Source organism: Homo sapiens, chromosome 6, assembly GCF_000001405.40.
Source record: "Homo sapiens chromosome 6, GRCh38.p14 Primary Assembly".
NCBI classification, from domain to species: domain Eukaryota; kingdom Metazoa; phylum Chordata; class Mammalia; order Primates; family Hominidae; genus Homo; species Homo sapiens.
Window position 1 is genome coordinate 109080406 of NC_000006.12, and position 20568 is coordinate 109100973.

The 20568-nt window shown below is 40.3% G+C and overlaps 2 protein-coding genes across 21 annotated transcripts in view, besides 3 other annotated features; one reads left to right on the forward strand and one right to left on the reverse strand.

The window, feature by feature from the left end:
• Positions 1–14441, reverse strand: part of SESN1 (sestrin 1) — a 110538-nt gene extending 96097 nt beyond the window's left edge. Inside the window, exon 1 of the mRNA NM_014454.3 lies at positions 13390–14441. Coding sequence (NP_055269.1) covers positions 13390–13668 — 279 coding nt within the window. The 5' untranslated portion in view covers positions 13669–14441. The remainder of the gene's footprint in view (positions 1–13389) is intronic.
• Positions 13809–13958: an enhancer, noted in NCBI's record as "active region_24920". NCBI's record gives its function as "activates an Ori minimal core promoter by ATAC-STARR-seq in GM12878 lymphoblastoid cells {active_cell/tissue: GM12878}" and the evidence as "EXISTENCE:reporter gene assay evidence [ECO:0000049][PMID:35858748]".
• Positions 14069–14768: a silencer, noted in NCBI's record as "silent region_17457". NCBI's record gives its function as "represses an Ori minimal core promoter by ATAC-STARR-seq in GM12878 lymphoblastoid cells {active_cell/tissue: GM12878}" and the evidence as "EXISTENCE:reporter gene assay evidence [ECO:0000049][PMID:35858748]".
• Positions 14758–20568, forward strand: part of CEP57L1 (centrosomal protein 57 like 1) — a 79256-nt gene continuing 73445 nt past the window's right edge. For 18 of the 20 annotated variants that reach the window (NR_146888.2, NR_146889.2, NM_001350655.2 and 15 more), the window contains exon 1: positions 15102–15170. The gene's annotated coding sequence lies outside the window, so the exon portion shown is untranslated. Of the gene's footprint in view, positions 14847–15101; positions 15171–19786; positions 19882–20568 lie in introns of those variants that run through there. The other 2 variants (NM_001083535.3, NM_001350662.2) reach the window with 2 other exon arrangements.
• Positions 14829–15088: an enhancer, noted in NCBI's record as "active region_24921". NCBI's record gives its function as "activates an Ori minimal core promoter by ATAC-STARR-seq in GM12878 lymphoblastoid cells {active_cell/tissue: GM12878}" and the evidence as "EXISTENCE:reporter gene assay evidence [ECO:0000049][PMID:35858748]".

Genomic DNA, 20568 nt, shown 5'->3' on the forward strand with positions numbered 1-20568 from the left:
CACCATATTTCCAGGATCTCAGTCCATAGAATCCTTGCGATCAGGCAACTTTTATAATGACAACATAATGAAAATTATACACCACAGTGAAACATGAAGATTCAGTAGGGTTCAAATCAGTTTCAACATGGGTCAAGGTTTAAATAAGAACTTGATATGCAACTTAATAACATCTGAGAATGTGGTTTCCCCTAGAAAAGTTTTAAGTTTTACCTTGAAGGAAAACAATTTGGGAAAGAAAGTAATATATTTTTACTGTTAGGAATCTTAACGTTAAATTTTTATTCAGATAATGAGGTATAATGTTGGAAAGCACAGACTCTTGAGTCTCACAGCCTGGGTTTTAAACCTGACTCCTCCTCTTACAGACTGAGCATCCCTAATCCAAAAATCCCAAATCCCAAATGCTCCAAAGTCTGAAACATTTTGAGAACTGACACGACACCCCAAGTAGAAAAATTCCACACACAAGTACTTAATACAGACTATTTCATGCACAAAATTATTCCAAGTATTGCATAAAAATTACCTTCAGATTATGTGATAAGGTATATATAAAACAGATATATTTTGTGTTTAGATTTGGGTTACATCCCGAAGATATCTCATTATACATATGCAAATATTCCAAAATCCAAAAAAAAAAAATCTGAAATCTGAAACACTTCTCGTCCCAAGCATTTTGTTCTGTTTTGAAACAAGGCCTCCCTCTGTTGCCCAGGCTGGAGTGCAGTGGTGCAATCTTGACTTACTGCAGCCTTGACCTCCTGGGCTCAAGCAATCCTCCTACTTTACCTCCCAAGGAACTGGGACCACAGGCATGCATCACCATGCCCAGCTAATGTTTGTATTTTTTGTAGAGATGAGGTCTCACTATGTTGCCCAAGCAGGTGTTGAACTCTGGGCTCAAGCAATCCAACAAAACCCTGGGATCACAGGTGTGAGTCATGGTGCCCAGCCTGGTCTTAAGCATTTTGGATAAGACATATTCAACTTGCATTAGCTATGATAACTTGGGCAAGTTTTTAACCCATCTGGGCCTTGTTTTTTCTTGACAGATAAAATGGGAATAAAAATATCTACTCATACAATGTTGGGAAGGTTGAATGAATTATTACATGAAAAGGGCTAAGGGTTAGGTGTGGCATACAGAATGCCTTTTCTTCTTGTTTTCAAAAGCATACAGACTGCTAATGGCTCTTTAAGACAACTTGATTCCAATCCCATGGCACATTTTAAAGCAGACAGGAAAGTCTGGTGCCACCTCTGCCCCTCCCCTCCCATCCACCCCAATTCACAGAAGATAAACTAGGCAGGCATTGGGAGCTCAGCAGGAGCCCCAAAGACACCTGCCAGATATTACCAAGCAAATTCAACCTTGCTTAGTTCCTTTCTTCTAAATTATATCAGGCTGTCTGATACAGAAAGCACTGTTTTGAAGACTTTCTGCTTAGTATGTCAAGCTCCCATTGGGGGAAGCACAGTAGAAACACTGATAGGGCAGCTCTAATGTCCTCATTAAACCGTCAAGGAAAGAAACTTCTGTAGTAGATAACTTGCTTGGAGTACTAGACATGAATCAACCAGGAGCAGAGTATTCGGTTGCTTACTGGCAATACCGGCATACAAACAATCACTTGCTTTCCTATATTATGTGTCCCTGAAGACACGTTGAAATTTAAATGTTTATAAGTGAAATAAGAGACTAACTCAGTGTAAGGGAAATCCAGTTCCCAGAGAGCTAAAACAATATTTATAAAATCCTTGTAGTTCCTAGAGGCACTATTTCCCCTAGGACCAATGAACCTTTAAAGTAGCTTAAAACTTTCTCAGTTGGCTGGAGACTTGGGGGCTCTAAGGGCATATAGTGCTAGAGGGCTCAACTTCCTATCTCCTCCCCTAGAGGAAGGAGGCAGAATAGAATACTAAGTACTCACATTCACTGAGTGCTTACTGGGTTCCAGTAAGCATTGCTCATAACTCTGTAAGGGAACTGAGGCTTAAGGAGGTTATGTAACTTGCCCAGTCACACAGTTTGGCAGAGCAGGACTTAAACCCGGTCTGACTAACTTCACAGCCCATGGTCTTGACCATTATCCTCCAATGCTGTCCAGGTACTGAAGCACAAACTTTGGCCATGGGTCTCTCCATGTGCACTTGATCACCTGGATGATCCATGCAGCTGCCTCTCTGCAACCTCTCCCTGCTGGTGCCATGCTGGCATACCAGAATGATGCTGGACTCCAATGAAGGGCTGGTTGCTCCAGATCTGCTGTCACTTTGGGCAACTACTAACACTTACACTGGGGCAGTGGTACCCTATGACACGATGTATTAAAATGGAATTTAATGTACAAAAGGCAATTAGGGATTTTCAATACATGTGGATAAAGTGCGGGATGTATGAAAGTCAATCACGTAAAAATCAAGCGTATCCATTTCTAAACTAATGGCAGTTTCAAGTTTGACTCATTAGATGGAAGATCTAGATCAAATGCATCATTATCATCACCATCACAATCATCACCAATATTTGTTGTGCACTTACTATGTGTTAGGTTTACTTCTACATGCTTTACACGTTCAAATAATTCTCAAACCCACTGTATGAAGTATTATTATTATTTTACAGATAAGTAAACAAAGGTTCAAAGAGTTTATTCACAGTTAAATTTGTACAGTATACTAAAGTTTACAAAATGGTTTACCAATGTCATCTCTTAATTTTTAGAACCATACCACAAGGGAGATAATAAAATGTCAATTACTAGATGAGGAAACTGAGACTGTAGAGGTTAATTTATTCATGAGCACATGGCCAGTAAGAAAATTCAACATGACCTTTACACCATTCTGAAGTAAGATCTCTAGTCAAAGTGAGACTGTGGATACTTAGAATAGATGGTTAGGAAATAAAGTAAATCAGAAATAAAAAGTTTCTTTTGTTTTTTAAAGTATAACCTTTATTAAACTTAAGTGAAATACATAGCCTTTTCTTTCCCATGTCAAAAAATAGATAAGCATAGGGTTTGGCAGATAGTAGATACACACACATACACAAATCTAATGAATGAAATGAGAAGAAATGATTCATTAGGTTCAATGGTAAAATTTACATTGTCTCAACAAAATTTCAATTTTTCATACTCAGAATGACTGTCATCAACAAAGGTCATATGTTATAATTTAAGTCAGTCAATGTATACCTTAACTTGTTCAATGAGAAAGTAGATACATCTTAATTTGAGGTATAATCACTATCAATGACTTTGAGAGATCTTACACTGTGAGAAAACCTGTCTCCCTAACATTTAAATTACTTTTTACTTTTGAAAGGCTTCTCTTAAATATGTCCTTCGGTACCATTGAACATATCACTCTACCACTATTTTGCAAGGCTCAGTTTTTATCACATGATTGGAAGAATGTCTTGCTGTGTTTAGGCTATGAATAGCATTTGAAAAATTACTCAGTTATAATTATAGACAGCTAACACCTGCCAACTAGCTAGAAAATGAAATCATGTAAAATTTAAAGACAAGTGTGCAGTGCTTGTCAAACACAGAGGTATCAAAACAGTAAATGCTCACTTTTAGTAAGGTAAAGATTCTAATTACACTTTACTGAATATTACAATAAAAGTAAAAATTATCCTACCCATATGTTTAATTTTTCAAGGCATATATATTTGTCAGTTTGTCAATTTAAACAACTTTCAAGTTAAAATACTAAATTAATACTATTCACTAAATGAATATGTATATTCAATGAATGATTATATATACATATTAAAGTTTATTTGGGTAATATAAACCACAAAGCTCATGTCATAAATTTTTTTCCCTTTAGTATTGTTTAAAAGCTTAGGAATTAGGCCAGGCACAGTGGCTCACGCCTGTAATCCTAGCACTTTGGGAGGCCGAGGCAGGCGGTTCACTTGAGGTCAGGGGTTGGAAACCAGCCTGGCCAACATGGTGAAACCCCATCTCTACTAAAAATATAGCCGGGCATCGTGGCGGGAGCCTGTATTCCCAGCCACTTGGGAGGCTGAGGCAGGAGAATCGTTTGAACCCTGAGGGGGAGGCTGCAGTGAGCTGAAATCACGCCATTGCACTCCAGCCTGGGCAACAAGAGCAACAGTCGGTCTCAAAACAAAAACAAAACAAAAGAAAACAAAACAAACAAACAAAAAATAAATAAAAGCTTAGGAATTGTCCTAAGGTGATTTTATAATAAATGAAAGAATGTATAATTCTAAGAAGACCTCTAACTTTTAAAATTAAAAATAAGGTAATATTTATGTAAAATATAAAGCTAAAAGTATCTAGTTTTTCCAAGGTAATTCCCTATTTCATTACAATCTATCAGATTTCTTTATATAAAAGACATTAGAACATGAGAAGACAGATAATTATTATGTTGCCAAATTTAACATGAATTTTTTTGTTACAAACTAAAGGTTGTTTTTAATCTATTTATTTGAAAAGTGTGCCACAAACTGTGAGTCTACTCGTAATAGACAGATTTTAATAATAAAATACCAACTGGGAAAATCTAATAAATGCTCCTAATAGTCATCCTACAGAAACTCTCAAAGTATCTCCAGCGAAAAACGCACTTTTAAAAAAACAAGCATCTTTTAAAGTTTTTTTTTCTTTTATACAGTAACTTTATGGTACATGTATCTTTATTGACACTGGCTTATCAGTGTAGCAACCAACAGAAAAAAAAAAAAACAAGCATAAAAATAATGTTCCCATAGTGTGACTATCTAGCTAAGGATTTCATACCTAAATTTCTAGTGTGTCAATGCCCCTAGAAATACAATCACTGGCCAGGCGCAGCGGCTTATGCCTGTAATCCCAGCACTTTGGGAAGCCGAGGCAGGCAGATCACAAGGTGAGTAGATCGAGACCATCCTGGCTATCATGGTGAAATCCCGTCTCTACTAAAAATACAAAAAATTAGCTGGGTCTGGTGGCGGGCACCTGTAGTCCCAGCTACTTGGGAGGCTGAGGCAGGAGAATGGCGTGAACCCCGGAGGCGGAGCTTGCAGTGAGCCGAGGTCGCACCACTGCACTCCAGCCTAGGTGACAGAGTGACACTCCGTCACACACACACACACACACACACACACAGAAATACAATCACCAAATATTCTGAAGAATCCTTGAAATCTGATTTCCTGAGTATATTCTGCCAGCCTAATTAAAGTACTAAGTAATTTCTTTAAGGTCATTTCAAATCTTTCTCACTTAATGTAGTAAATGTGAGCTAGAAACAATGTGTCAAAGTAAACCCTATTTTCCACTGACTTCTATTTAAAAATTTAGATATTTTACCATCGTGTGAAAAAATAAACTGATTTGAGAAATTCTGACAAAGCAGAGATTAGAATTGGTGGCAAAGCTTGCTTGGTGCTGATGTACTTCCAGCAGCACTTTCATCCTTCTAAGCACTTTAAGCACGCTGCCCTCCCTGACCAGCATCAACTCTGTTCTTCCACAAATTCTAAGATTTTTCTCATGTCTATGGTTCCTTCCAGTCCATGCTAATTTGCTACAACATAAACACTGACTATTTTTAAGTTATAAAATTCTTCATGATTAATACATAACCCAAAGTAGTGCCCATTTTATTAAAATTTTAAGTGATTAAGAATCCTGTATTAGGCCGGGCACGGTGGCTCACACCTGCAATCCCAGCACTTTGGGAAGCCAAGGCAGGCAGATCACTTAAGGTCAGGAGTTCAAGACCAGTCTGGCCAACATGGTGAAACCCCATCTCTACTAAAAACTAGCTGGGTGTGGTGGCGCATACCTGTAATCCCAGCTACTCGGGAGGCTGAGGCAGGGAGAACTGCTTGAACCCGGGAGGTGGAGGTTGCAGACAGCCAAGATCATGCCACTGCACTCCAGCCTGGGCAACAGAGTGAGACTCCATCTCAAAAAACAAAAAGAATCCTTTATTATACCCAAGATTCCACAGCTACTTTCTGTCAGACCAAAGTTTCAACAATCCTTAAGTTAGCAGTTTGAATTATTAATTACCTATTCAAATGGTAAAAAGATATTTTGCAAATTTCTCATGGCTTATCAAGAGAAAAATAAATATAACTCTAAACAAAGACAACAGTACACCTACTTTCTAATTCTTTTACTTCATGAATGGTCTGCACATACAGCACCTTTAAGGACACAAAGTGTTGAAAATGAGAAAAAATTCTAATTAAGCCATTGTTTTAGAGGATCCTTCATGATGTCATGAACAACCCATGATCTTAAAGTAAAATTTACTATGCAAGTGTTTAACATCTTTGTACAAAATACTATATCCCATTTGTAAACAAAATAACTATGTTAGAAAAATATTTTTTAAATGAATCAGTTTTTTTCATGTTAGAGGCCAATGGGGGCACTCCAACAGGAATAAAATAGATGAAATCAGGCCGGGCACTGTGGCTCATGCCCGTAATCCCAGCACTTTGGGAGGCCGAGATGGGTGGATCACAAGGTCAGGAGTTCAAGACCAGCCTGGCCAACATGGTGAAACCCTGTCTCCACTAAAAATAGAAAAATTAGCTGGGCGTGGTGGCGCCCACCTGTAATCCCAGCTACTCAGGAGGCTGAGGCAGGAGAATTGCTTGACCCGGGAGGCAGAGGTTGCAGTGAGCCAAGATCGTGCCACTGCACTACAGCCTGGGCGACAGAGCAAGACAGCATCTCAAAATAAATAAATAAACAAAAATAAATAAAATAAAATAGACGAAATCTGAACACATAAAGAGTACTGTTGTTAATTTTGATCTTTCTGAAGAGTCAAAACATAGGACAGGATGTATTTATATATTATAAAGAAGACACTGAGTATAGATAGTACAGATATGATTCCTCCTGTAAGTCAGAAAGTGAAAAAAAATTGGCTGTCTTCAAACAATTTAGAAAAAAAAAGTTAAAGATTTGCCTTCAGTTTCTTCACATTCTTTATCCAAAGAAGGACAGAAAACCTGAGAATAAAGAATATTCTCTGAGCCTCAAAAGCAAGGAAGGAAAGTGGTCAAAGACACGAATGAGAGGAGGCAATGAGAAGTAAGCCACAAGGCTTTCTGAGGGAAAGGGACCGAGTTCACAACGTATCAATAAAATAAGAAAGGCCAGAAAATAGTGGTATGGAAGAGAGAAGCTTAGTGTAAATATTGAAAGAGGACTCTCATATTTGCTGTGATATCTAAGAGTCAGCAGTGAATGTTTGACATGCACTACCTTAGACTTTTGGCTCCACTAAATGGCAGTTAAAAAAAAATCAAAACAAAACAATCATTTAAAAAGACCAAATCTGCTTCTAGAATGTCTCCAATCTGTTATATTTTATAGCCCCACTAAAAATGAATTAAGTATGCTTCTAATCTAATCGGATCCAAATTATAAATAGACCAAGTGATATATTATCTAGTTAGATACACATGCAGTTTTAATGGAAGCCTCTAATTAGGCCTGACTGCCTTCTGTACTGCTTCTCCTCATCGAGAAATTTTCTGTTCAAGTGATGGGGGGGCAGGGGGCGGGTCTCCTGGTCCTTAGGGGCTGAATGCTGATTAGTCCAAACCAAAAATAGAAATGCCCAATTTCTTCATCAATGACTGGCTTAGAAAAGGGCATGTGACCCAATCCCAGTCAATAGAAACTGAGAGGAAGTCTGCTAGAGGGTTTCTGGGAAAGGTTTTCTTCCCCGAGAGAGAGACGTGGGAAGAAACTCTTTTCTTCTTAGCTGCAGATAGTCATGTCTGCACATGGTGCCTGGAATAGCATGCTGTAGGAATGGAGACATCATTTGCTATGCTGAGGAAGGAGAACAAAAAAAAGAAAGCAGACAAGTAATGTAGTTGAGCCAATGAATCAATCAAGCTTGGAACTGCCAACCTCCAGACTTATTATGTGAAATAATAAACTTATTGTTACATTTTCAATCTATTTATTACTCAATTGGATAGCAACTAGATACTGCAACTCCAACTGTAACTCTAACAGCTATAAATGTGCATCCTACCCAGCAACGAAAGTTTCATTTCTCCTGGAGGTGGGGGGGTAATAATCACTTTACTAAATGAAAGCCTCCACCACCCCACTTACCAAAGATAAGTATTTTGTTGCTTATTCTAAATTTTCTATCTTAAGCCAATTTACTTTCAGACAATATTGATTGCTGGCAAACTTATGAAAATGACCAAATGACCATTCTTGGAAAAGTACTTGGCTATTCTGGATAGGCCTCAAAATCTTTTGATACATATGTGCTCTCATATTTTCCTCCTTAATTACATGTATCATCAAGACTATAGTTCACCAGTAGACTATATTAGGAAAGTGGGCCAGTATTAATACTCCCATTCCTTTGTTTAGAGAATCAAGAGTATCAAAAGGTGTAATTCTTCTTTTTAAAGTTTCTTTAAAAACCCAGTATAAAGCCTTGGATGAGAATAGAAAACCTTCTTCAAAAGCAGGAAACAAGTCTTACTGATCTTCAAGTCCTAAGTACAGTGACTGCCTGGCCCAGAATATTTCTCAAAAATGTGAATATATTTAAACATGCTGATGTGGAATCAATAAATTGAGAACTGGGGTATAAACAAAAGATGCTATCTCCCAATGTGTCCATTTTTTTTTTTTTTAACAGATTTAGCTGCTTGGAATTGAATTCATTCTACCACCTTGTCATCGTTTCTCCCTTGCCAACTACAGCCCTTTTAGCTGACCTATAGCAATTAAGGGCTTTCAGGAGCAGCTGCAGAAATTGCATATGCACCACAGCTTTTGCTGCTTTACTAATGAATAACAGAAAGCATTATGGAGTGCTACATTTGAATTAATATTTGCTTTCTCATGTGAGGCTGATGCTAAAATGGTAGGCAGTGAAGCTGGAGAGGTAAGTGAAAGCCAGATAATGCTGGGTACTATATGACATTAAGAAGTTTAAATTCAATTCTATTCTAAAGGGCTTTTGCCAGTAAAGTTACATAGATTTTCATTTTAGATAAATGGCTCTACAGCTATGTGGAGGATAGATATAAAAGTGGAGGGTGAGTTTAATCTGGAGAAGAAGACATAGCAGTGACAGAACTAGAACAGCGGTATCGGGGGCAGAAATTCATTTAGGAGCTATTTCTACTTGGATGTCTCATAGGCAACTTAAACTCAACATGTCTAAAACAGCAGTCATTTTTCCCCTAAATTGACCCCCTGCCACTCTTTTGTCTCAGAAAACAATTGCACAATTCACCAAGTACCTCAAGCCAAAAACTTTAGAGCCATGCTTAATTTTGTTATTTTCCTCATCTTCTAAATCCAACTAAATACTATATCCTGTGGTTTCTAACTCCTTGATATCTATCAGACCCATTTTAATTTTTTCCACTCCCTCCTGCCCTACCTCACATCCTAGTCCACTATCACTTTTGTCATAGGCTAGTAGGACAACCTCCTAATTGATGTCACACATCCACTTTTGACCATGGAAATCCATTCTCTAGAGTGATCCTTCTGACACACTATCAATCACTATACTACCTTGCTCAAAATCCCCCAGTGGCTTCCATTATTTCTATGATAAAGTCCACAACCCTTAAATAGCCTATAAGCCCCTCTGGGATCTGGTTTCTGCCTAGTAATAGCAGGCATACCTAACATTAACTGAGCATTTCTTTTATGCTAGGCACTGTGCTATGCTTTGCAAACATCATTTATTTTATTCTCACAGCAACATTGTGAGGCAGGAACCATAAGCATAATGCTCATTTTGCAGATGAGGAAACTGAATCAAGGAGAGATTATGTAACTTATTCAAAGTTGTAGAGTTAATAAAGTACAGTCCCATACTGCGTAACATTTCAGCTGATGATGGACCCCCATATGCAACAGTGGCCTCATAAGATTACACACTTGACCCTTGAACAACAAGGGGGTTAGGGGGCCAACCCTCCACACAGTTGAAAATCTGTGTTTAACTTGTGACTCCCTCCAAACTTAGCCAACAATAGCCTACTGTTGACTGGAAACCTTACTGATAATATAAACAGTCAATTAACACATATTTTGTATGTTATACATATTATATACTGTATTCTTACAATAAAATAAGCTAGAGAAAAGAAAATGTTATTAAGAAAATCATAATGAAGAGATCATATATTTACCATTCATTAAGTGGACGTGGATAATCATGAAGATCTTCATTCTTACGGTCTTCACTTTGAGTACACTGAGGAGGAGGATCAAGAGGAGGGGTTGGTCTTGCTATCTCAGGGGTGATAGAGGTGGAATAGGCGGAAGGAGAGGCAGAAGAGGCAGGCATACTCAAGTGTAACTTTTGTTTGTTTGTTTGTTTGAAACAGGGTTTTGCTCTGTCGCCAGAGGGCTGGAGGACAATGAGACAATCACAGCTCACTGCAACCTCGAACTCTTGGGCTCAAGCGATCCTCCTGCCTTAGCCTCCTGAATAGCTGGTACTACAGGTGTGCTCCACTGCACCCAGCTAATTTTTTTTTCTTGACTTTTTGTAGAGATGGGTCTTGCTATGTTGTTCAGGCTGGTCTCCAACTCCTGACCTCAGGAGATCTTTCCACCTCAGCCTTCCAAAGTGCTGGGATTACAGGTGTGAGCCACCCCGCCCAACTTAGTATAACTTCTATTGAAAAAATAATCTTCCTATAAGTGGACTCATGCAGTTCAAACCTATGCTGTTCAAGGGTCAATTGTAATTCTATATTATTACTCTACCTTTTCTATGTTTAGATACACAAATACTTACCATTGCATTACAATTGCCAAAGCGTATTCAGTACAGTGACACGCTGTACGGGTTTGTAGCCTAGAAACAACAGGCTATATAACACATAGCCTAGGTGTGTAGTATCTAGGTTTGTGTGATTTCACCCTATGATGTTCAAACAAATATGATACCACCTAACGATGCATTTCTCAGAGTGTATCACCATCATTAAGTGACACATGACAGTATCGCAGCCAGGTCTGCCAAACTCCAGAGTATGTCCTCTTAAGCTATTCACGCCACCCTCAAACTGTCTGCCCCAGCCATATTGCATTACTTTCAGCTCCTAGAACTCATCTGCTCTCCTTGGCATGAGGCCTTCATACATACCGTTCCCTATGTCCGGAATGTCCCCTCACAAATCTCACCTTTACATGGGTAATATTTATTCATTTATCATGTCTCTGCTTAAATGTCATTGCCTCAGGAAAGCTTTCCCTTACTATCTAAAATTAAATTTTATATTTGTTTACTTCTTTATGGTCTGTTTCCCTTTGGTATGATGTCAAAATTGTTACCACTGGTCCTCAGTTCTCAGAATGACATTCAGCAGGAGTTCAATAAACATTTGTTGCATAACTGCAAGCATAAATGAATGATGCTGGGGTGGAAACTCCCTAAACTGAAAACTTCATCTATTCAGACTACTGATGAAAAACAGAAAGAAAGTATAAATTTGTTCATCCACTGGATATTTATTTAGTAGCTTCCAGGTCCCAGCCAGTACTCTTAAGAACTCATAGCCTTCCTATGGGAGACAGACACAAAAGCATGTGCTTATAACACAATATAAGTAAATTGCCTTTTATAATTGTACAATAGATGCAGAGATGGAAAAAAAGAGTATAAGTCTATAGGGAACCTTCCCAGGAAATTCCTGAGTCCTTTTGCAGGATGAAAGAGTCTTGAAATATATATTGCATAGTCTATGTATTTCACTTATGAAAGGGAGAGGAGCATCTACTATATATACCAGAGTACTTTACATCTGATTTAATTCCCACAAGAGCTCTGTGTTGTTATTCCCATTTTACAGATGTGGAAATCCAAGCTAAGAAAGGTCAAGGAATTTGCCCAAGGTTACAGGCAAGGACATTAGTAAAGGAGTGGAATTTGAGCCCAACTCTGACTCCAGTACCCACTTATTTATCATTATATTGAAATCCTTTGATACTATGCTCCCCAGAGCCTGCTTACTTTTATTTTCAATATAACTCTTAACACGATTGGTTATCTGGTTTCCCATTCTAATATGAATTAAGCAGCAAAATGAAAGATCAGGAAGAGACCAAAGTCAAGTATCCTGACGGCAAAGGAAAGAACAGAAAAACTATAAAAATTACACACAAAAATACAAAAACTAATGGATCATATAGTCAGTCCTCCACCCTTTGCTGCACAACAATAGTTGATATGCATAATGATGACCCCATTATGGACAAAAATGGTTGTTACAGTCACTACAGTCTAGAAGATAGAGAAATAACTTTTTGTGTTTCAAAGGGTAAACTTCAGTTACCTAGTATATTAATTCCTCTCGGGTAACTCTGAATTGTAACAATTGTTTCCAAAGTGTTAGTGAGAAGAAATATCCCAAGATCTTAAATAGAGTCTTCATTTTGTGGATATTATTTTTCTGTTGCTTTAAACTAAATTCAAGCCAGTATATAAAAACTGTCACTTTTAACTTACATAGTTACCCAAGTACATTTTAAATTTTAAAAATCTCTCATACAGGACTTTGGACAACACACGTGGATTGAGAAATGTAAAGATTGACAAGCATATATAAGGTGTTGCTGAATATTGTCAATATCTAAAAACTTAAAAAAAAGTATTCTAAGACACCTTGTAATAAAACAGGATAAATTATGAACGAAATGGAGGAAAAACTATAATATTTTTAACCTGCTGCACTCGTATCTTAAATAGCTACACATGTGAAAAAGAAACAATTCAGGCAAACACAGAGAAAGCTAGTTGAGCAATTTGCCATAAAAGTGTTTCTATCAAATACCCCACCTGGGTCCACCTTTTCAACATGAAGATATTAGCTTCTTTTAAGATAGGTTTTTATTATTTTATATAATTCTCTTCTTGAAAAAAGAGAGGTTGCATTTAGAGAACACATCCTGGTTTGTTTTGTTTTTAAAAATAAGAGAAAATTGTTCCACCAATTATCTTGAACAGGCTGACTAGGAAACATTTAATATCCTTTATCATTTTAGAGGCTTTTAAATGTGAGCCTTTACACTCAGAACACTGTGACAATGTGAAAAAAAAACACTGGCTACATTTTCCAACAACATGTAAAAAGAAATATAAGGAAAAACAAGTATTTACTTGGAATTAACTGTAGTTTTCATATATTCTTCCAGGAGCAAAGCAGTTTCTGCCTAAAACTCTAGAAAAACACTACTTGTTTACTTACAGAACACTCTAAAGATGTAAACTCATAATAAAAGTTTACATAACAACCTAATAGAAACAAACACAACGTGAATAACGGCAAGTAAAATTTAACTGTAGTAGAGACATAGTTGTATTTAAAATGCTCTTCCTTACCTGGATGCTCTTCAGAATAAACTCACTTTTCTCTCTCACATCTTTGAAGGGACACCTCTTAGAAAGCATAAGCAGATGAGCAAGTAGCTTATTCAACCCATCCGAAGACTCGGTATTTGAAAGCCCGTCTGATGGACGATGAGGTGTTTCTTTCACCGAACGAAGATACTCGGTTTTCCTCAAAATGGTTTGCCTAATGTTTTCCAATGCTGTCTCCCTAGTAGTTGAATCTCTGCTGCAGAGTCCATCCCATCTCACTTCATTCTCTCCTTCAGCCATGACAATAGTTTTTCCTTTGCGGTCTTCAGTTACCTTTCAGCATGCCCCAAAAAAATTGCTTTGTATTTTTAAAATGAAAAATGTAAAAATAAAATCAGAGAAATCAAATCGTCATGAAAACACACATCTGGGTGACATTTGGAACCACTGGTGCCTTCAGCCGATCTACAAGCTAGGTCACCCTCTCACCCTCTCCTTGTACACGAAAGGGCAGTCTTCTTTCTGGAAAAACAAAGTTTGAAAGTTGCAACCTTGCAGCGCTGGCTTTGGTGGGCAGAGAATTTCGGGGAAGCGTTCTCCTCCGTCTCGCGGGGTCAGTGGATATCCTCACGTTGTGGAGCTGTCAAATCCGTGCTCTGCCCCAAAAGGCTGTTAACAGCTGAACGCCCTCCAGCCATTCGGGGCTTTTTTGTCTGTGCAGCCACCGGGTTCTCTCCGGCGTTCCCACCCCGCCCCTTCTCCGACACCAGTCCCCGCCCTCCGCAGCTCCTCCCAGCGCCTCAGCAGCCGGCCGGCGCCGGCAGGGAAGGCTCGCCGAACCCTGGCCCACTGGCCGCAGCGGCCGGAGGCTTGGGCGCTGTCGGAGGGCGGCAGTCTCGGGCAGCCGTAGTCTCGGCGGGCGGCGGTGAAAAAAAGCGTCCCCCAGCCCCGCCAATTCGGCACCCCCGGGAAGACGCTACTTCTCCGATCCCTGAGCCCTCGCCCACCACCGCCGAGCCAGAGGGCACAGGGCGGCCCTGGCAATCCTCGAGCGCCAGGCTGGGCCGCGGAGCTGGCGGGGCGGCGGGGCCCGAGGCGCAAAGCCCGCCCTTCGCCCAGCCCCATCGGTGGGGATCAGCCCAGAGGGCGGGAGCAGGGAGTGGAGACGGGGTCCTCACCCCCAGCCCCTCCCCTTTCTCCGCCCGGCACAAACCGGGAGCCGCCCCGGCCCCAGCGCCTTCTTCCCCGCCCAGGCAGACGCGACCCGCCGAGGCAAAGCCTTAGGAAAAAGCCCCGCCCTCTGGCAGGCTACCCTCCGGACCCCAAGTGCGCCGCGCGCGGCTGCCAGCCACTGCCGGCTGCTACGCATGCGTGACTGCGAACTGGGCCAAGCGCCCCCGGAGGCGCTAAGCTTGCGCCCTGAGGCGGTTTCCGTTCCCGGACGTTTGGACTCTGTCCTGGAGAAGGGGAAGGAAAAAGTAAGACGTAGAAGTACACTGAGACTTCGTCACACATAAAACAAGCACGACAAAGAAAGAGGGCGCGAAGGGACTCCTGGAAGAAATTGAGTCTACATTTAAGATCACCCTAAAAGTAGTGACGGCCTCTTCATTACTCCAAACCCCAGATTTAAGTCGGTAGGACGTCTTCGCGTTGACTTGTGGGGAATGTAGTTTCGATGCTGCCGGCGCGTTTTGTTTGCGACAGAAACTACAACCCCCAGGGGCCACCGCGACGTTGCCTGTGGGTGCCCGCGAACCAACGGTTAGCGGTGGCAGGGGCTGACTGAGAGCGTCTGCTTGGTAAGCACTGTAAGCTGGGTTGTCACCTTTCCTTGACAGGGTTTTTCCTTCCTCCATTTCCTCTGGGATTTTGGAGACAAAGCCATCTAGGGTGGCCTCCCTTAGTCCAAGGACTTTTTCCAGTGACTTGCGTGGGAAGGACTAGTCCAGCTGCCCAAGCGCGGGGTGTGGTGGGTGAGGCAAGGATTTGGGATCCTGATCCCAAGGGTCGCAGGGAGCGGCCTAAGTAAGGCCAAGAAGGAAGGATGCTGTGGAAACTGGAGCTTCGCGCTGCTGCCTCTGATTCCGCCCTTTTTTGTGGACACACGCGGGGTGGATTTGGGATCTCCGCGCATTTGCACCTTTGTTTGCCTTTGCTTAGGGATGTTCTGGGCTTTATTTGCTCAGTCAAATGAAATCCTAGGCAGGGCTTTGAAAGCAAGTTGTCAAATCCATCTCGTAAAAGAATCCCCAGTATTCCTAGATAGGAATTCTTGCAGGCTTTAAGGATACAGCAGGAAAAAGAAAGCAAAACCGTAAAAGTCTCCAAAACTTAGTCGACTTTTTCAAAAGATTCAGTCATTTGCTTAAAATTAGTTTGCTTTTAAAAAGTTATTATTTGAGAAAAGTCGAGGTTTGAACGGCCATCAGTGGACTGATAATCGGTGTAGATTTTAATTCTTTACATTGCAGAATTGCATTGCACTAAATTCTAAAAATTTCGTCTTGCTAGGCACTGAGTATACAACAATGAAAAAGACAGTCTTACTAGTTAGAGGAACTAGTTGTTAGACATACGGTTACAATAATACATGATATCACTGGGATGTCTAGAAGGAGATGACTTAGCCCAATCTTGGAAAGTCAGGGAAATCTTCATCCCAGGGGAAATGAAGACCAAAAGAACAGCATATGCTAAGGCCCAGAGTGAGAGATAGGGTACTTTCAGGAAACGTCAGTAAGCCAAATCATGCATACTTGGCGGTGTGGGGTGGGACGGGAAGGGTGCTTTTTGTGTATTGATGCACTTAGAAGCTACAAAGAGACAGGTATTGTGAATTCTTTACATCGTTTCTGTAAGTGAGCTATTTTTGAATAGATGCATAGTTCTGATGAATTGGTCTAATTTCAAAAGCCTTGTTACATTCTGACACTTCTAGTTTGAATCTGAATTTTAAAAAGGGAATAACTTATGAGTGTGATTGAAAAAGCAAAACAAAAACCATTCCGTTTTCATCTCCTTTTTGGGATCTTCATTCTCTATCCAGCCCATAAAGGGTCGGGTAGTTTCTTAAGGCTGGGTGCCTTTTTATGCCGTAGTTAAATATGATCTCATGTATACCCATGGCTTCACCAACACCTATGACTCTCAAATGAATAGCTCCATTCAGCTTCACCTCTCAGCTTTCACAATATCTCTTGGATATTTCTTCTTGGATATCTCAAAAGCATCTCAAACTCAACATACCTAAAACCAAATGCATAGTTATCTCTTATGAATCTAATTCTTTTTCAGTGTTCCTTATTTCAGCAAAGGACACTACTATCCATCTACTTGTGAAAATTTGAAAGCTAAACATTATTCTTTATTTCTTCTTGCCCTTCATACTTCTATGGCCAAATTATTATGAAGTTCTGCCAACCTTATCTCTCAAAATATCCTTCAAATATATTTTTCTCTCCACCTGTCTTCAAACTGCGATAATCTCTCAAGACCACTACAGTAGCAATTATTCACAATGACCCTCCTCCATTAGTTCTCCATTATATCTGCCAGAATGATTTTTTGAAACTGCAGATTTGATCAGATTTTCTCTTGGTTAAAACTATTCAGTGGTGTCCTACTACTGTTAAAGACAAAACTCCTTTATAAAGCCTGACATCATCTGGTACTCTTTCAGACTAACTTCATATATTGCCCTCCAGATCAGCCATACAGTCCATTTTTCAGTCATTGGTTCTCATATTCCATTTCACCCACGCGTTTACTCAACAAATCTCTGTTGAGTCCCTTTTATATAACAGGACATTGAAGATACAGCATTGACCACAATATATAAAAATTCCTACTGTCATAGAGCTTGCATTCTACTGAGGAGAGATAATAAATAAATATGTAAAACACTTAGTAAATGAAATGAAGACAAATGCAGTGGAGAATAAAACAACTGGGAAGGGGAATGGGGAGTGCCAGGATGTGAGGGGCAAGGTTCACTTTTAAATAAGGTTGTTAGAAAAGACATAATCCAGAAGGGGACAATTGAGATATGAAGTAGGGGAGGGAATAAACCATGTAGATGCCTGGGCAAATAACATTCTAATGAAGAGAATTAGTGCAAAGGCCTTGGGCAGAAGCCTGAGTGCGCATTTGAGAAATAGCAAGAAGGCTAGTGTGGCTGGAGCACAATGAGTACAAAGAGGAGAATAACATGAGGTCACAGAGAAAGGAAGTAATGGTAGGAGAACATGTAGGTGACTGAAAGGACTAACATTTTTAATTGGGTTGGGAAAGCATTGGAGAGTTTTGCGCAGATGAGGGCATGATCTGACTTTTAAAAAATGACTACTTTTCTCTCTCTCTCTTTCTCTCTCTCTCTCTCTCCCTCTGTCTCAACGGAGTTTTGCTCTTGTTGCCCAGGCTGGAGTGCAATAGCACAATCTTGGCTCACTGCAACCTCCACCTCCCAAGTTTAAGTGATTCTTCGTCCTCGGCCTCCCAAGTAGCTGGGATTACAGGCATGCACCACCATACCTGGCTAATTTTGTGTTTTTAGTAGAGACAGGGTTTCACCATGTTGGTCAGGCTGGTCTTGAATTCCTAACCTCAAGTGATCCACCCACCTCAGCCTTGCAAAGTGCTGGATTACAGGTGTGAGCCACCGTGCCCGGCCTCTTTCTTTTTTCCTGAGACAGAATCTGACTATGTCACCCAGGCTGGAGTATAGTCATAGCTCACTGCATCCTTGAACTCCTGGGCTCAAGTAATCCTCCCACCTCAGTCTCCCAGGTAGTTGGGACTACAGGCACGTGCCAACAAGCCCAGCTAATTTTGTATTTTTTCCTTTTTTTTTTTAACTGAAATTACATAACTGAGATAATTTTTGTCTTTTTGTAGAGACAGGATCTCACTGTGTTGCCCAGGCTGGTCTTGAACTCCTCAAGTGATTGCCTCAAGTGATCCTCCTGCCTCAGCCTCCCAAAGTGCTGAGATTAGAGGCATAACCCACTGCAACTGGCCTGAAGTGAATATTTCTTTTAAATTGTGTTGAGCATAGACCATAGGGAAGCAAGGGTGGAAGCAGAGAGACTGGTTAGGAAACTAAAGTAATAATCCAGGTGACAGAATCTGGATACATTTTGATAGTATAGCCAACAGACTTTGCTGACAGATTGTGTGAGAGTAAGAGTCAAAAATGGCTTCAAAGTTTCTAACCTGAGTAACTAGAATGGAGGAAGTGCCATTTACTATTATGGGAAAATCTGCAGATTTGTGAATGGGAGAGAGAGGAAAGGTTGGTATTTTAGCTTGGCCACGTTAAGTTTGAGATGCCTCTAAGAAATTCACATTGAGATGTGGAGGTGGAGGAGGCAGTTGAATAAATGAGTCCAGAAGTGAGGAGAAAGATCTGGCAATAGATATAATTTTGGATTTTATAGTAGTGTTTTGATAGGAGTTGTTGATATCACCAAAAGTGATATTCTATGGAGTTTGGGTGGATTTGGAGTTCTCTGCAAAGGTGACTGAAGGAGCAGCCAGTGAGCAGAGAAAAACCCACTGTTCAGTAGGTGTTCTAGAAGCAAAATGAAGAAAGTAATTAAGGAGGAAGGAAAAATAAGTTATGTTAAATGTTGCTGTAGGTCAAATGAGATGAGGATTCATAATTGACCAGTACATTTAGCAACATGGAGGTCATTGGGATCTTGATAAGAAACTTTTGGTGGAGTAAAGGGTACAAAAGCCAGATGGGTACTTTTATTTATTTATTTATTTTTATTTATTTATTTATTTTTGAGAAGGAGTTTTTGCTCTTGTTGCCCAGGCTGGAGTGCAGTGGCGCTATCTCGGCTTATTGCAAGCTCCGCCTCCCAGGTTCAAGTGATTCTCCTGCCTCAGCCTCCTGAGTAGCTGGGACTACAGACACCCGCCACCATGCCCGGCTAATTTTTGTATTTTTAGTAGAGACAGGGTTTCACCATGTTGGGCAGGATGGTCTCGATCTCCTGACCTCGTGATCCACCCGCCTCGGCCTCCCAAAGTGCTGGGATTACAGGCGTGAGCCACCGTGCCCAACAATGGGTACTTTTATTTAGTAGAGTATGGGAGACAGCGAGTATGGATGCAGCACTCTTTTACTGTGTTCTTTGTCCAGATTGTTCTAGCCTGTCTTTAACTCCTCTTCTTGCAGGTCTTTGCTCAAATAATCATTTTCTCAGAGGTGTCCCTGATCTAATTAAATACTCTTCTTGTAAATAGACCTATTGCACCGTAAACCTTGAGTTGCTCTTATGTTACCAATTAGTTTTGCAGTTGTGCCATGATTTGATTAAAGTGTGTTTATTTCAGTAGAGCTTAAGCACACAAGAGGAACTACTGTGCTTGTTTTTGTTGATCATCTTATCTCTACCTCTGAGTACAGTGCCTGGTACCTAGTACAAACTTAATAAATGTGTGACGCAAGAATAAAGGAATGAATGAATGGAAGAATGATATAATGCCACAGAACTTTCAAAGGTATGGCATATTTATCTATCATTTACAAAAACACAAAGTAATTAATGGATGGACGAGGGTACATTATAATAAAAACATTTTAGAAAGTTCGTCCTAAAAAAAACAAAGCCGGGCACAGTGGCTTATGCCTATAATCCTAGCACTTTGGGAGGCTGAGGTGGGCCGATCACTTGAGGTCAGGAGTTTGAGACCAGCTCGGCCAAGATGGTGAAACCCCGTCTCTACTGAAAATACAAAAATTAGCCAGGCGTGGTGGTGGGCGCCTGTAATTCCAGCTACTTGGGAGGCTGAGGCAGGAGAATCGCTTGAACCCAGGAGGCAGAGGTTGCAGTGAGCTGAGATCGTTCCATTGCACTCTAGCCTGAGTGACAGAGTGAGATTGTCTCAAAAAAAAAAAAAAAAAAAAGAAGAAAGAAAGAAAGTTTACAGAATCTGTAGCCTAGGAAATGTAATTACTGGTCACATAAAATTTTATTTAATGTGATACAGTTTCACATTGTTTAATTCAGAGTTCTTATATTCATAATGTCTGCTTTTTGGCTGGGCATGGTGGCTCACACCTGTAATCCCAGCACTTTGGGAGGCTGAGGCAGGTGGATCACCTGAGGTCAGAAGTTCGAGACCATCCTGGCCAACATGGTGAAAGTCCATCTCTACTAAAAGTACAAAAATTAGCCAGGCATCATG